Raw genomic sequence first — 16,456 nt, 5'->3', positions numbered from 1 at the left:
GGCCTTGGGGCCGCAGCTCCCTCTTAAAAGGATGCCTGTGATTGCATTAGGGCCCATCCGGATCATCCCGGATAATCCTCCCATCAAAAAATCCTCCACTCAACCCCATCTGCCTTGCAGGGCAATCTCTCCAGAATCCAGGGCTCAGGGGCTGGACATGTTTGGGGGCCATCATTCAGCCTCCTGCAAGCGGCCTGGGTAGAGAGGCTCAGAGAAGACCCCAGGGGCAGCTCCTCTGGAGCAGGGGACAGAAGAGGGTCCATCGGAGCTGGCTGCAGCTGGGCATCCAGAATTGGGGTTTGGGGAGAAAAGCAAGGGTCCTGGTGCATTACAGCCCAGAGGCATGATTGCTGGTCGGGTGGGGGATGGCGTGCGGCAGGCCTGGGTGAGCGTCGGCTCTGACCCTTGGGGCTCCGTGTGCAGCAAAGCACCTGGCCCTGAGCCTGGCCTAGGTCATCCTGGCCCCTGCTCAAGGGCTCTCGTGGGCATCGGGAGTGAGGTGCTGTGCAGAGTGGATGTTCAGTGACCAGTGGCTCTTACCTTTCCCATGCCCCACCCCAGGCCTTCCTGCCAGGGATCATCTTACCTCCAAGGACATCAGAGTCTCCCTGTGGAATCTCCCCAGACCCCCTTGTCTGCCTGTGGGTCAGGTGAGAACGTGGAACCCCAGTTTTGTCCCCTGAACCCTACCCCCAACACCCATCTTTCACCCTGCCACCCCATCCCCTCCGCCCAAGCACCATCATCTCTCCCTTCAACTCTGGGCCTCCGCCCACCGTGTCTCCCAGCTGCCACTTGAGTGATCTTAGTAACATGCACAGCAGGCCGCACCGGCAGCCCGTCCAAAACCTCCAAGGATGCCCCTAATCCCTTCTGACGCTCTCAGGTCTGTGCCTGCCCTGGTCCTCAACTTCCGTTAAACAAGCCCCCTCTTGGGACCGCGGCACCCTCAGCCCCTCCGCCCGGACTCTCCCCACAGACCTCCCTGTGGTCAACCTGCTGATCCTCAGGCCTCACCCCCGGGCCCCACGTAAAGACACCTCCCAGTCACTGGCCACTGAGCATGGTCCCCAGGCCTCTGGTTTGTTCTGATCGGCATGAATGCCTCAGCTGGGGGTGGTGGCCGGCTTGTCACCGCGATAGGCCAGTGACAGACCCCGGGGCGTGGCAGGCACACAGCGAGCTTTTGTGGAACCAGGGGAGGGGTATTTTCCAGATACCGGTTCAATGGTGAGATGATGCCAAAACTCCAGCCCAGAGGAAGCCAGGGAGGCTCTCCGCACACTCAGAAAACAAGAATCTGTAAGTACAGAAGCAAACGCCAGGCAGAGAGGAGGCAGGAACCTGGCTGGGTGCCGCAGCTCAGGCCTGCGACCCCAGAACCTTGGGAGGCCAAAGCAGGAGGATTGCTTGAATCCAGGAGTTTAAGACCAGCCTGGGCAACATAGCGAGACTCCATCTCTATTTTAAAAATTAAAAATCAAAATAAAGAGAGGATTCAGGAGCCCGCCAGATGCACCAGGAAGCCCAAAGGAGATGCCGATGTCCCCTCCTCCCACCCCAGGCCTGGTCCCTCCCAGCCTGGCTGTGCTCAGGTCGCTAAGAGAACACGAGCTCCGGTGCACCTTTGTCCATTGAATGTGTTTTTTGAGCACTACTGAATGCAAAGACTGCCCTGGGAACAGTGTACTGAGTGTCAGATCCAGGAACACTCTGGGACTAGGGGACCCCGATGAGGCCCTCAACCCATCCATCCTTAGGGTCTGGAGACCTTTCCAGAGAAGAACAGAAGGCTGGGCATCTTTCTGGAGTGCCCTGGAGCCTGGCACACAGCAGGACTTAGCGAATACTTTTTGAACCAAATCACACAGGACAATTGGCCCCAAGGGATTAAGAGGAGCACATCTCTGTCCTCACACTGGGTGGGGCTTTGCAGGGGCAGCCAGGTGGCAGAAGCTGCAGGGGCGCAGCCAGGTGGCAGAAGCTGCAGGGGGGCAGCCAGGTGGCAGAAGCTGCAGGGGGGCAGCCAGGTGGCAGAAGCTGCAGGGGGGCAGCCAGGTGGCAGAGGCTGCAGGGTCTCTTCCATCTCGCACCGCATGTGCTGGAGGGAGAGGGGCTTGGGGCCTGGATCGCTGGCATGGCTGACTCAGAGGCCACGAAGTCAGATGTCATTTTGGGGTGCAGAGTGTGGGAGGACTTTTGGGCACTGGGAGGACTTTGGGCCATGTCTGATGTGGTCTAGGGCTCAGGGTGGGTGTCCAGGACCCGCTCAGGCAGGGTCTGGCCCTCAGACCCCCCTCACAGGACACTCCACTTGGATGGTTTTACAAGTCAGGGTCCCACAAAAGAGTTGGTTTGACAAAGGGGCCCCGCTGCTAAAAACATTTGAAAACCACGAAGTGAGTCCAGCCCTGAAGTTTTTACTCAAGGCTCTGGAGCCTCCTGGGTACTGGTTGACCCCGGGCCACACAGGCTGCGCTGCTCTCCTGGCCACATTTGCCCAAACCCAGGGGCTCAACCGCAAACAAGGGCTCCCTGAGGCTGGGCTGCTGGCTCCTGCAGACCCGAGGGGTGGCGCAGTTACCCACATTCAGCGCTGGCGAAAGCCAACCCCAGTAGACTGTGCTAGAATGCGCCTAAGTGAGACCACCACAGGAAAGAGAAGTTCCAGAAATTCTCTGAGAGCTTTTGAGCATGCTAGCTACAGTCGCTGAGGTCGTGGGTCAGGGCGGGCGGCATAGGGAACCTTGTCACCAGGCACAGGTTGGCTCACCTGGGGTTAGGACGGACTGGCCCACCTGCCACATCCCAGGAGGCCTGGCTGCTGCTCTGCCTGTGGGGGAACAACGCGAGTAGGCAGAGTACGCCTGTGACCCCGGGCATGCAGGGACCCAGTGTGACCCATCTTATGAGGCCGACCCCACACCACCCAGCCCCGGGCCTCCCTGGTAGACCCTGAGAGGTGAGAAAGGTGTGGACCCTTCCAGAAGGAGCTTCCTGGAAAGGAGACCAGACAAGGAGCCCGGGCAGGTCCAGGGCTCAGTGAGGTGCGGAGGTTAGCGGGCCACAGAGAAGGCAGTGCTGGCCCCGCTGCCCAGGGCAGAATTGGACCTTCCCAGCCTGACTGGTGGTGACAAGGGAAGGACCCCAGGGAGCTGAGGCCGGCTGGTTTCTGCCCTGGGTGCCCGCAGGGGAGGGGAGCTCTGGGAGGCCTGAGGGTCCCCAGCAGCTGGGGCTGGGTCCAGAGTGTGCAGGGCCAGGAACACCATACCTGGGCCACTGCCTGCCCCACCCCAGGGCCAGGGAAGCACTTGGGCAGGTCCCACCCGCTGGCTGCTCTAAAACCCCTCACATGGGCCTCACACCTGCCGTCTGCCACTGCTGATCACCTCCTTTGTGGGAAGGTCCCTCCTTGTGAGCCCCACACCGGCACCTGCCGAAGCCTCCTGAACAGTGAAAGAATGGATTGAACCCAGGAATGAAAGACCAGTGAAAGAGTGAGTGAGTGAAGGAATGAAGGAGAGAGTAGGGTGAAGGAGAAGCCACGAGGGAATGAAGAAATGAATGAGCAAGTGAATGAATAAGTGAATGAGTGAACACACGAATAAGAACAAATGAAGGTAGAATAGACAAACGGAAGAACAAGTGAATGGATACGTGAGTGAATGAATGAATTCGCGAAGCTCCAATTCTGCCTTAGAAGAGAGCAGGAGCATTCTCCAAAGAGCAGACCGCCCCATTCCCCTCTCCACGCCACGCAGGACCACACAGGGGTCAGTCCGGGTCCGCCGCAGGGCGCCATGGCTACTGGGAGTCCAAACGTCTCCCAAGGTTCCCTGTGAATTGGGCCAGTGAGGCCCATGCTCAGACCCACAGGACCGCAGGGCCCTTTCTTCGGGCCACTGCTCCCGGCCAGGTCCACCGGCTCACTGCCTCTTGCCCAAGGTGAGCATCCTGCCTTCTCTGTCTGCTAAACTGTGCATCCTTCGAGATCTGTTCACGTGCCACCTCCTCCAGGAAGCCCCAGTGCTGCACAGACGAGCTCAGGGGCAGGGTTTCCAGGGCCCAGTCCCTGCTGACCTGCTCCAAGGCCTGTGAGGGCCGTGCGGTGCAACCTCCCAGCCAAGTCCCACGACCCCACCCCTCTCCCAGCCCGGAGCAGAGCCTGAACTCCTGAGGGGCTGGCGGGACCCTGCACCGAAAGGGACTGGCCAGAATTTGGGGCCTGGCACGGCCTTGATATCAGTGCCCAGCTCCTTTGCTCCCGCATAGACCCAGATCTGGGTGTCCTAACATCTCCGAGCCTCAGTTTGCTCATCTGCAAAATGGGGCTCTCTCCCTTACAGCTCCATCGTGACCACGTAGCCTATGTGGCGTGTGCAGGGCACAGAGGCAGGCAGAGTGTCTGCTGCTGGCAGTGGCAGCATAGGCAGCACAGTCAAAGCCCGGACACGGACGGGGCTGAGCGTGTGACTGTGCCTCTGTGGATGCGGGGGCTAGCTCCCCCCTCGCTTCGGGGAGAGCCTGGCTTGGGTGTATCCATGGCTGCAGCTGTGGTCAGCCCCACAGGAGGGCATCTTCCTCCACCAGCCCACCAGCCCATCAGCCCATCAGCCTCAGCTGGGCCCTGAGGCCCTGGGGGCAGAGCAGGGATCCCGTTAGCCCAGAGCGCTCACACACCCACGGAGGAAGCCACCAGTGACAGGGACCTGACAAGGCTGATCCTGGGCAAGTTCCTTCACCCCAGGGGCCTCCGTTTCTTCCTCAGTAAAACAGGGCTTGGGCCACCCTGCGGAAGACATCAGGACTGGAGGAGGCCCTGAAAGCTCGGCAGTCAGCGCGGCTGGCACGCAATGGACAGCGGCCGTGCCTCGCTCGTGTTAACAGCCAGCAATTTGACTTCTGTGATCTCACAGCATTCCTTTGGCAGCAGTGAACATTCACTGCCCTCCTGGGAGCTCCGTGGGGCTGGGCACGGGTGTGGGGAGCTCACAGGCTGGACTCCAGGTCCTTCAACACTTGTGGACCTCACTCAGCATTACGGTTCGGCAATGGCTGCCCCGCAAAGGTCCTGTGGGGACCAGGAAGTGGCCAGTGGTCAGGGCTCCGGGAGCGGCCCCGGGACCTCACTGTGGATCTCAGAGCCCTTGTCAGTGCAGCTCTGCTCCTGGGAGCTGTCGGCTCCTGCCTGAGGGGCTGGGAGAGCAAGCACTGGGGGCCTCCTACCTCGGGGCAGGAGCTCCCTCTCCCTCCGTGACCTTAGCGGCAGTCCTCACCGCATTGTCAGGGGCACAGTGGAAGGTTCCCCGGCTGGCCCAGGGGTCAGATAAGGAAGACCCCCAGACCATCAGCTTGAGCCGGGGAGGGCAACCCTGCGGTTTTCACCGGTTGCCCCGCCCTTGGGGTAATTGAGAAAGCGGCTTCCTTTTAATTAAAGTTCTGCAAAGGGCCTGAGCTCCCCGAGGAAAGGAAAAGTGTCCAAGCAGAATAATTAGCCGGACAAAAGGCAAATCCTCTTAGCATCTCCCTGGGCGATTACAGGTTAATTGGTTGGCACTGCTGCCCGCCAGGGCCAGACTCCCGGCTTTCCCGCGCCTCCCGCCGCTTGCTGACCCCAAGGCCACACCTGCCCCGCTGTCCGGCGTGGGAACCCAGCAGGGCTCCGTCGCCCTCTGATCCGCCCTGCCCTGCCAGGCCCTCTCCTCAGCATCCAGCTCCTCCCTCGTTATCCCCCAGAGCCTGTGAGTCTTCGGAGCTCCTGTGCGGGGACAAGTGTCTCAGCACTGCCCCAAAGGTACACTTGTCTGTGCCCCACGTTCCAGCCACAGTCACCTCTCCACCTTTGCCCAGCTACCTCTCCGTCCTCACCCACACCCAACCCAGGATAACCCTTCTGCCCGGCACAGGAAGGCCTCGTTGTCCCAGCGAGCCTCCGTCTTCCACTCACATGGCTCTTATGACGGTCACCATGCCGCTGCCCCTGCTTGGGCAGCAAATCACATCTCTCCAAAAGGAACACCTGTGCACCGCCGCGGGGAGCGCAGATTATCTCAACCCTTGTGGACAATGGTGTGGCGATTCCTCAGAGATCTAAAAACAGAAATACCATTCAACCTAGCAATCCCATTCCTGGGTATACACCCAAACGAATAGACATCATTCTATTATAGAGACACATGCATATGTGTGTTCACTGCAGCACTATTCACAACAGCAAAGACATGGAATCAACCTAAATGCCCATCAACGGTAGACTGGATAAAGAAAATGTGGTCCATATACACCATGGGACGCTATGCAGCCATAAAAAAGAACAAGATCGCCTCCTTTGCAGGAACATGGATGGAGCTGGAGGCCATTATATTATCCTTAGCAAACTCATGCAGGAACAGAAAACCAAATACCGCATGTTCTCACATATAAGTGGGAGCCAAATGATGAGAACTCATGGATACATAGAGGGGAGCCACACACACCGGGGCCTACTTGAGGGTGGAGGGTCGGTGGAGGGAGAGGATCAGGAAAAATAACTAATGGGTACTGGGCTTAATACCTGGGGGATGGAATAATCTGTACAACAAACCCCTATGACCAACTTTACCTATTTAACAAACCTGCACATGTACTATAAAACCTGAACTGGAAAGTTAAATTTAAAAAAGGTTGCGTATCTCCAATTCATCCCTGCCCTTATCAGTTCCCTTTATGTGGCCAGCCCGCGTTTGAGTCATCTCCAAGGACAAGGGGCTCAGCCTGGCACACAGAGGTGCTTCATTAAGGCCTGCGAGGCCCCTGGTAAGTTGCAGTGCAAGGCTGGCTGTAAGGCTCTGAGAAGCTGCCTGGAGCTTCAACCAAGGGTCTCGGAGAAAAGGGACTGCCCTCCTGCCCACGCCCTCCACCCACAGGAGGGAGCTGGCCTGGGAACACTGGAAGGTATCCGTGGAAAAGAAAGAAGGCTTGAAGGACGAGCGCAGGAGGCGTGGGAGACCGATGGTGACTTCAGGATCATCAGATTCCCGAATGATCGAGGCGCCCAGGAACACAGGTTTCCATTTCCACCCTTGATGAAAGTCACTCCGACACATTTATTTTCCTGCTCTACTACATGAGGCCCCAGGGTGGACCCCTGAACCCAGCCACCATGCTCCTCCCTGTTCACAACCGTGGACAGAGCAAGAGATGCTCCAGCCTGCGTTTGGGCCGATGAGGACCCTGGGGCCAGGAGAGGTCAAGGCCTGGCTGACAAAGGTCACAGAGTGGCCAGAGGGAGAGCAGGGTGACGTGGCCGAGCTCAGGAGTCCTGAGATGGACGTGTCCTCCCGTCCCCCTGGCACAGTGGAAAGAAGGGTCACCACAGGGCTCCTCAGGGCAGCCCCGGCCCCTTCTCGCTGCCCCCGCCCAGGGCGGGCAGTGAGTCAGCCCCATAGCTCGGCCGAGGCTGCGGCTGCGGTGGTGTTTCCAGTCTCAGAGAGACGGGACAGCTGTTTATTTTTCTTGCAGTAGAGGAGGGGCAGGGGCGGGGGCAGGACCTGAGGAGCTGACCCTGCTGGTTCTCACACTTGGCCCAGGCTCCCTGGGAGCCCCCGAAGGGAAGGGGGGGGCCTCAGGGCTGACTGCTGGGGGGATGGGGGCCCCGGGCCTCCCTGCCACACTCCTGGGGCGCCCAGCCAAAGCCAACGCCGCAGGCCAGTTCCTGGAGCGGGATGTTGGGGTTTCCGAGGTCGGGAAAGAACTGGCACAGCTCAACCCATGATGTCACCACCCAGCCCCAGCCCCGCCACCACCTCTGGGAGGACGCAGGGTACCCTGGGGTAGCTCAGAGATGCTGGGATGGGGCACCAGGAGGGGACTCAGGTGCCTGTCCTAGCACAGGCTGTGGGCGTCCCTGCCCCTCCATGCCTTCCAAAGGCTGGGCCACCAACCTGGGACCCCCTCAGCAGCAGGAACCGAGTCCCCCTGGCTTCTGGGCCAGGCTGCAGTGGCATCGAGGGGGCGCTTCCTGAGCCAGGAGAACATCCTTCCAAGACGCTGTGATTCACACATTTTGGGAGGCTCTCCTGAGTGCCACTGACCCTCCTCCCAGCTGGCCCTGTGCTCAGCTGTCCCCAGTGAGGACGGAGTCCCCCAGCCCGGCCCAGGGCCAGGGTCTTCTGCAGCCAGACACCCCCTTCGGCATTAAGTAGATGAGGGGTGGCATCTTCCTTCTCCTTTTCTGGGATTTCCAGTTTTCTACCGCAAACACTATTTTTTCTGGAACTCTTTAGTGAAGTGTAACCCACAGGAAAGCGGACGCAGTAGAAGTACACAACCCAGCAGATTTTCAGAAACCAAACCCTCCATGTCACGGGCACCCAGGCCAGAGGCAGGACGTGGACGATGGCCACGGTCCCATCAGGGGCCTCGCTCCCGACCGTGGCACCGTGGGTCGCTATCACCTGTTTTTACACCGCACAGGAACGGCTCACACACCCCATCCTCTTTGCTGGCTGGCTTCTTTGTTCAACATCGTGTTTATAAGACTCACCCATATTACTGTCTCTTTTTTATTTTATTTTATTTTATTTTTTGAAACAGGGTCTCACTCTCTCACCCACGCTGGAGTGCAGTGGCACAATCACGGCTCACTGCGGCCTTGACCTTCTGGGCTCAAACCATCGTCCCACCTCAGCCTCCTGAGTAGCTGGGGCCACAGGCATGAGCCACTGTGCCCAGCCTGCCCATGCTATTGTGTGTTTGTAACTCATGTATTACTTTAAAAAAAAAATAGGGCTGGGGGCAGTGGCTCATGCCTGTAATCTCAACACTGTGAGATGCCAAGGTGGGAGGATCACCTGACGTCAGGCGTTCGAGACCAGCCTGGCCAACATGGTGAAACCCCATCTCTACTAAAAATACAAAAAATAGCAGAGCATGGTGGCACATGCCTGTATTCCCAGCTACTGGGGAGGCTGAGGCAGGGGAATCGCTTGAACCCGGAAGGCAGAGGTTGCAGTGAGCCGAGATTGCACCATTGCAATCCAGCCTGGGCGACAGAGCAGGACTCCGTCTCAAAAAAAAAAAAGAAAAAAAAGACTTTAGTTTTTTGGAGCAGCTTTAGGGTTACAGAGAAATTCAGGGGAAAGTACAAAGCATTCCCATTTGTTCCCCTACAGTTTCCTCTATTATTAACATCCTGCATTCATGTGGCATATTCCTTGCAACTGAAGAGCTAATATGATAGATCACTAACTCAAGCCCATGGTTTACATTAGGGGTCCCTCTTGGCGCTGGGCATTCTGTGGGTCTGGGCAGGTGAATAACGACACGGTTCCTCCATCACAGAGTCACACAGAGCCGCTTCCCCGCCTGAGCACCCCCTCTGCTCAGTCCAGGCATCCCTCCCGCCCCAACCCCTGGCAGCCACTGATCCTTTCACTGTCTCCAGAGTTTTGCCTTTTTCCGAATGTCGTCTATTTGGAATCATGCTGTAGCCTTTTCAGACTGGCTTCTTTCACTTAGTGAGATGCATTTACATTTTTTTTTTTTTTTTTTTGAGACGGAGTCTTGCTCTGTGGCCCAGACTGGAGTGCAGTGGAGTGGCACCATCTCGGCTCACTGCCAGCTCCGCCTCCCGGGTTCACGCCATTCTCCTGCCTCAGCCTCCCGAGTAGCTGGGACTACAGGCACCCGCCACCAGGCCCGGCTAATTTTTTTTTGTATTTTTAGTAGAGATGAGGTTTCACCGTGTTAGCCAGGATGGTCTTGATCTCCTGACGTTGTGATCCGCCCACCTCGGCCTCCCAAAGTGCTGGGATTACAGGCGTGAGCCACCGCGCCCGGCTGCATTTACATTTTCTCTGTGTCAGGCTTGGCATAGTGGCTCATGCCTGTGATCCCAGCATTTTGGGAGGCCAAGGCGGATGGATTACTTAAGCCCAGGAGTTCAAGACCAGCCTGGGCAACATAGTGAGACCTTGACTCTACAAAACATTTTTAAAAATGAGCCAGACGTGGTGATGCACACCTGTAGTTCCAGGTACTTGGGAGGCTGAGGTGGGAGGATTGCTTGAGCCCGGGAAGTCGAGGCTGCAGTGAGCTGTGATCACACCACTGCGCTCCAGTCAACAGAGTGAGACCCTGTCTCAAAAAAATAAAAATAAAAAATGTTAAAGAAAAAAAAAAGCATTTCCTCCATGTCTTTCCATGGCTGGAGAGCTCCTTTCTTCTTGGTGCTGAGTAATTCTCCACGGTCTGGCTGCACCACTGCTTACTGGTCCCTTGACCTCCAGAAGGACATCTCAGCTTCTAAGTTTTGGTGATCATGAATGCAGCTGCGATAAACATGTGTGTGCAGGTTTCTGTGAGTAAATCCCAAGGGGTGAGGCTGCTGGATCATACAGAAAGGGTATGTTTAGCTTTGTAAGACACAGTCGACCTGTCCTCCACGGTGCGGTACCATTTTGCATTCCCACCAAATGCGGTCCCACATGCTCACCAGCATCTGGCGTTGTTAGTGTTTTGGATTTGGACCATTCTGATAGGTGTGTCGTGATAGCTCACTGTTTTCATTTGTAATTGCCCGGCGTTAGGCACCTTTTCATGTGCCTGTCTGCCATCAGTGGCTCATCCTATAAGATATTAAATACATTTCTTTCTTCTTTTTTTCTGAGACAGAGTTTTGTTCTTGTTGCCCAGGCTGGAGTGCAATGGCGCCATCTTGGCTCACTGCAACCTCCACCTCCCTGGTTCAAGCGATTCTCCTGCCTCAGCCTCCCAAGAAGCTGGGATTACAGGTGCCTATCACTACGCCCATCTAATTTTTTGTATTTTTAATAGAGATGGGGTTTCACCATATTGGCCAGGCTGGTCTCAAACTCCTGACCTCAAGTGATCCACCCGCTTTGGCCTCCCAAAGTGCTGGGATTACAGGCGTGAGCCACTGTGCCCAGCCAAGATATTAAATACGTTTATTTCTCATCTCTGGTGAGGAATCTTTTCTGATCTTTTGCCCATTTTTTAATTGGGTTGTTTGTTTTCTTATTGTTGAGTTTTAAGAGTTCTTCGTATATTTTGGATACCAGTTACCTGATGAGCTTTGGAAACATGTCTCCCAGTCTGTGCCTTGTCTTTCTATTCTTCTCATAGTGTCTTTCACAGAAGTTTAAATTCTCCCAGAATTTTCATATTGTCTTCACAGAAGCTAAATGTTCAAATCATCAATTCTTTTTTTCCTGGATTCTGCTTTGATGTTGCCACTAAAGTCATTGACGAGCCCCAAGTCACCTAGATCTTCTCCTCTGTTATCCTCCAGGAATGTTACAGTTTTGTGTTTTACACTCGGGCCTATGATCCATTTTGAGTTGATTTTTGTGACTGGTGTAAGGTCTGTGTCTAGGTTTGTTTTTATGCACGTGGATGTCCACCTGTTCTTGCACCATTGGTTAAAAGACTGTCTTTGCTCCTTTGTCAAAGAACAGTTGAGGCTGGGCGCGGTGGCTCACGCTTGCAATCCCAGCACTTTGGGAGGCCAAGGCGGGCAGATCAATTGAGGTCAGGAATTCGAGACCAGCCTGAGCAACATGGTGAAACTCCATCTCTACCAAAAACACAAAAATTAGCTGGGCGTGGTGGCACATGCCTGTAATCCCAACTACTCAGGAGGCTGAGGTAGGAGAATTGCTTGAACCGGGAAGCGGAGGCTGCAGTGAGCTGAGATCGGACTACTGCACTCCAGCCTGGGTGACAGAGAGAGGCTTGGTCTCAAAAAACAAAAAGCAAAAAACAAAAAATAAACAAAGAGCAATTGACCTCATATAGGTGGGTCTATTTATTTCTGGGTTCTCTATTCTGTTCCATTGATCTGTCTATTGTTTTACTGTCTCGATGACTGTAGCTTTCTAGCAAGTCTATGTATTACTATATTACTCTTTTTAATTAAGCAAAATGGCTTCTGCAGTTTTTGAGAGATGCCATGGTTAGAAGGACTTTACCTGTCGCTGGCCCGCTGCTTGCGGTGTCTTCTCTGCTGGCCCCATGGTCTCCAGGGTGCCTTGTTGCCCGGGAAGGCCCCTGCCTCTGGGTGGGAGGCAAGTGGGCAGGGAGACCCCATCCTTACTTCCCCATCATGGGTGAGCTTGTTTTTCAGGCACTCGGTGAGTCTATCTACATGGGGCGGGGGCGTGTGGAAAGGTAGGAATTCCTGGCTGTGGTTTGAACATTAACAATTTCACCAACCAGACCAACCTGGGTGGCAGCCTGGGCGGGGTTCCCAGTGCCACGAGGTGGACATCTCCCCCCACTGGCTCCCCAGAGCCATCCTGGCAAGAGGTCCCCATCGATGCTCTGGGGCAGACAGGAAGGGAGCTGGGGTCCCCGTGGTACCTTGGACAAGTCACCTCTCTTGTCAGGGTTTGTTTCTTTACCTGCACATTAGGGGCAAGGACCCCAGCCCTCCTCAAAGAGGGAGTGAGGCCAGGTCAGACCACAGGCAGAAAGCTCTTTGCAAACTGTGAAGTGTAAGGGAGACATGTGAGTGGAAAGGTCAGCCGGGGCTTGAGCTGGGCTGCCTGGCCTCCTGGGGTGGCCCCTGCAGGAGGTAGGGGCCACAGGGAGGTTTTCCAGGCACTTCTGTCCAGACTTTACAGGTGAAGAGAACAAGGACCCCAAGGGATGTGGACGTAACTCCCCAGGTACACAGGTGTATTTTGTGTGTGTCTAAGTATTTTTCCCTCATATAGTAACGTTTTGACATCTTAAACCTTTCTGCCAGCCTGAGCAACATAGCAAGACCCCATCTCTAAAAAAATAAAAATAAAAAATAAAAAATTAGCTCGGAACAGTGGTGCAAGCCTGTGGTCCCAGCTACTTGAGAGGCTGAGGTGGGAACATTGCTTGAGTCCAGGAGGTTGAGGCTGCAGTGAGCTGTGATTGCATCGCTGCATTCCAGCCTGGGTGACAGAGCAAGACCCTGTCTAAAAACAAAAACAAAAACAAAAAAACCCATAAAACCTTTCTGGTTGGGGAGAGAATGACCCTTCCCAGGCTAGCCAATCCTTAGAGACCACAAAGGGCCCACCTGGATCAGGCCTTTGGTACGCAGACCTCCAGTCCAGAGCCCGTCCTCCTCTGCCTGGTGTGTAGCCCCTGGGAGGCGATATTCCTTGGCCATAATCGCCCCTGGGCCAGGGACCAGGCAGCTGGACACCAGCCCTATGTTTAGAGCCCACAGAAATCATTCAAACTGGCCAGTCCTCAACTGCTGGCCCTGCCCTGCCTGGCACTAACTCAGACTCCTTGAGGCCCTGTGTAGAGAGTTCTAGAGTTACGCCCCAGGTAGGTGTGAACAGGAAGCCTGAGGCCACCTGGAGCCAGGTGCCAGTGAGGCCGCCTGCCCCCACTCTCTGTGACCTTGAGCCAGGCCTGTGGGGAGTATGGCCTTGATAGCCCCTGGGCATCTTGGTCTCTGGATAGATTGGAAAACCACTTCTTGTCACCTCCCACCCATTTTTTCGTTCCTTTATTCACTTGGTTTTTAAGAACATTTGATGGGCCCTGTGTGAAGGACCATCTTCCCCACAGCCCCATAGGGTGTGTGTTGGGGAATAACCCTATGTCTGGATGGGGAAATTGAGGCTGAGAGAGCTTTAGTGGCCTGGCCAAGTCCACAAGGCCAGAAATGGGTGGTGAGGGCCACCCAGACCCCCACTCCAGAGCTTGAACTCTGCCTGACACCTGGGCTGCCAGTGCCTCTGCCCAAGCCCAAAGTCCCCACTTGGGGCCAGGCCCCTCCCATCAGCCTCTGAGCACCCCCAGACCCTCCTGCCCAATCTCTAGATAATCATCCACTCCCAGCAGGCACACCGGGCCTTTCACCCCCACCCTGGCCTGGGCACTGCCAGAATTAAGGACTCTCATCCTCTGAGAGTGGGATCCCAGGCAGCCCAGTGCTCCATTAGGCAAATTTATAGGGAGTAAGATTGGAGCAGGAGGAAGAGCTGTGTCCTGAGACATCTGAAACTCCAGGCCTGGCAGTTTGGACTCTGGCCAACGGAGAGCCATGGAGCGTTCCTGTGTGGGGCTAGGGTGGGTGGGGGAAGATCACTCTGGTGGGCTGCTCTGGTTCTCTATCACTTACAAGCCCCTCTTGGGACATACGTTCCCTTGACTGGGAGAAAGTTTCCCCCATCAGGGGCTGGGGTGAGGCAAAACCAAAGCTGGAGGATGCGAGATCCCTGCTTGGTGCTGGACAGGCGGCCAGCGAGGGATCAGCGTCACGCTCTTTCTCCAGGGCTCAGTGCCAGGCCGTGACCAGGGTGTTAGGACCAGAGGGGCTCTCGGTGACTGCAGACAAGTCCTCATGCTACAGGCCTGGGAACGAAGCCCATGGGGGAGGCCCCTCCCCACCGTAAGGCCCGGCCAGCGCATAGCGCACAGGAGGCCTGGGAGAATGGCTCGGCAACAGTGAGCCTGAACCCAGGTTCTCAGGGAGGATGTTAGGAACTGGCCAAACCGGTTGCGGATGAGTTTCCCGGCAGCTTTTCTTAGGTTTTTACAAGAAGCTGCATGGTCAGACAGGGCCTGCCTTCCTCCCCTCCTGCCTCCTCCCTCTATTCTCCTCCATAAGAAAGAGCCACCACGAGGCTCCCTCCTGAGAAGGGCTCTGCCCAGAGGCCCCTCTCCAGCCCCAGGGACCTGGCATCTGGGGAAGCAGCTGCCCTCCTTGTGGTCTCTGGCAAGCCAGCTGCATCTCTCTAGACCTCAGTTCCCATCTCTGTAAAACAGAGCTAGGAGGAGCCAGCTCTTCCCAGCATCCAGTTCTGCATCCCCAGGGCCTCCACCTTGGTCAACCATGGGTCCCCTGTGGACAGCCGGAGCAGCTTGGCCCTTGATGGCTGAGGATGCAGTTCTCGGTGTGAAGGGCAGAGCCCTGGAGGACAGGGGCTCAGGACCCCTAGCTCAGTGCTCTGTCTCCAGTCTGCAGCTACTTGAGCCATGCACCTTGGCCTCCATGGCTCCATCTGTAAGGGGCACGCTGTCACGTTTTTCTCCACCCAACGCTGCCCTGACGGCTGTGTGGCCCCACTCCCTGCCTGGGCTAATAAAGCTTCATCCACAGCCGGAGTCTGCACAGGCGCTGCTCCCAGCACTCCCATTGCCAGATCTGCAGCATGGAAGCCTCCCCTGGGCTCTGGGGACAGAGCTCAGCATCCTGGAGAAGATGCACGGAGGCAGCACCGCGGCCGGCAGGATGGCTGGGGTCAGAGCCTGGCTCTGGTACCGGGTGGCTTCTCCCTGTGGCCTTCAGAGGCCTGTCCTTCCCAGGCCTGCTGCAAGGACAGGGGCCACCAACCTCAGTGCTGCTGAGACCACAGCCCTCTCCCCAGCCATGTCCTCCACCCTCCACCTTCCCTGCCTGACCTCAGACCCCACCTGGGTCCTCGCCTGCCTTCTCTGCCAGGCAGACTCCTGCTTACCTCCAAGAAAAAGCTCCAGGCCCCCTCGTCCAGAAGCCTTCACTGCCTCCTCGCTGGGCAAGGCCCTGATGAGGGAAGTCGGGGGCCATGGAAAACTGTCTGGGTCCTGGGAAGGCTTCTGGAGGAGGTGATGATGGAGGAGAAGTTTAAGTCAAAAGGAGGCAGGAAGGAGCTATCAGGAAGGCAGGTTGGAGTCTGTCGAGGGCCCTTGCCACCCCGAGGTGTTGACCACTTTACGCTGTGGCCTCTGCAGGGGCTAGGCCGAGTCCCCTCCAAGAGCCTGGCATGCACACGGTGAGTGCCAATATATTGACTATCTGACCTTTGAAAAATAACACATGTGGAATATTGAGTCTTGGTCATACTCGCATTTTTGAGCCCATCTGTCTCTATGTATTTCGCAGTACAGTGTATTTTTAAAATATGGCCTTATTATTTTTAAAGTTTGTTTCCATCAATTTTCCTGCAATCTTCAAAGTTTGAATTAATCTTTCTTTCTTTCTTTCTTTTTTTTTTTTGAGAGGGAGTCTTGCTCTGTTGCCCAGGCTGGAGTGCAGTGGTGCAATCTCGGCTCACTGCAACCTCCACCTCCCGGGTTCAAGTGATTCTCCTGCCTCAGCCTCCCGAGTAGCTGGGATTACAGGCACCAGCAACCACACCCAGCTAATTTTTTGGGTTGTTTGTTTGTTTGTTTGTTTTGAGATGGAGTCTCACTCTGTCACCCAGGCTAGAGTGCAGTGGCGCAATCTTGGCTCACGGCAACCTCTTCCTCCTGGGTTCAAGCGATTCTCATGCCTCAGCCTCCCAAGCAGCTGGGATTAAAGGCACCTGCCACCGTGCCCAGCTAATTTTTGTATTTTCAGTAGAGACAGTTTTTACCAAATTGGCCAGGCTGGACTCGAACTCCCGACCTCTAGTGATATGCCCACCTCGGCCTCCCAAAGTGTTGGGATTACAGGCATGAGCCACTGCGCCGGGCCTGGATCAATCTTAATTAATCCAAA

At 56.0% G+C, this 16,456-nt stretch overlaps 2 annotated features.

Moving 5' to 3' along the window:
- Nucleotides 13,803-14,684: an enhancer, noted in NCBI's record as "H3K27ac-H3K4me1 hESC enhancer chr22:46292373-46293254 (GRCh37/hg19 assembly coordinates)". NCBI's record gives its function as "activates a minimal SCP1, AML or CMV promoter by ChIP-STARR-seq in primed H9 embryonic stem cells {active_cell/tissue: H9 hESC(primed)}" and the evidence as "EXISTENCE:reporter gene assay evidence [ECO:0000049][PMID:30033119]".
- Nucleotides 14,685-15,568: an enhancer, noted in NCBI's record as "H3K27ac-H3K4me1 hESC enhancer chr22:46291489-46292372 (GRCh37/hg19 assembly coordinates)". NCBI's record gives its function as "activates a minimal SCP1, AML or CMV promoter by ChIP-STARR-seq in primed H9 embryonic stem cells {active_cell/tissue: H9 hESC(primed)}" and the evidence as "EXISTENCE:reporter gene assay evidence [ECO:0000049][PMID:30033119]".

The sequence above is a fragment of the Homo sapiens genome, chromosome 22, assembly GCF_000001405.40.
Source record: "Homo sapiens chromosome 22, GRCh38.p14 Primary Assembly".
NCBI lineage: Eukaryota > Metazoa > Chordata > Mammalia > Primates > Hominidae > Homo > Homo sapiens.
Note: the sequence above shows the minus strand (reverse complement) of the source record. Positions and strands in the feature narration are given on the sequence as shown.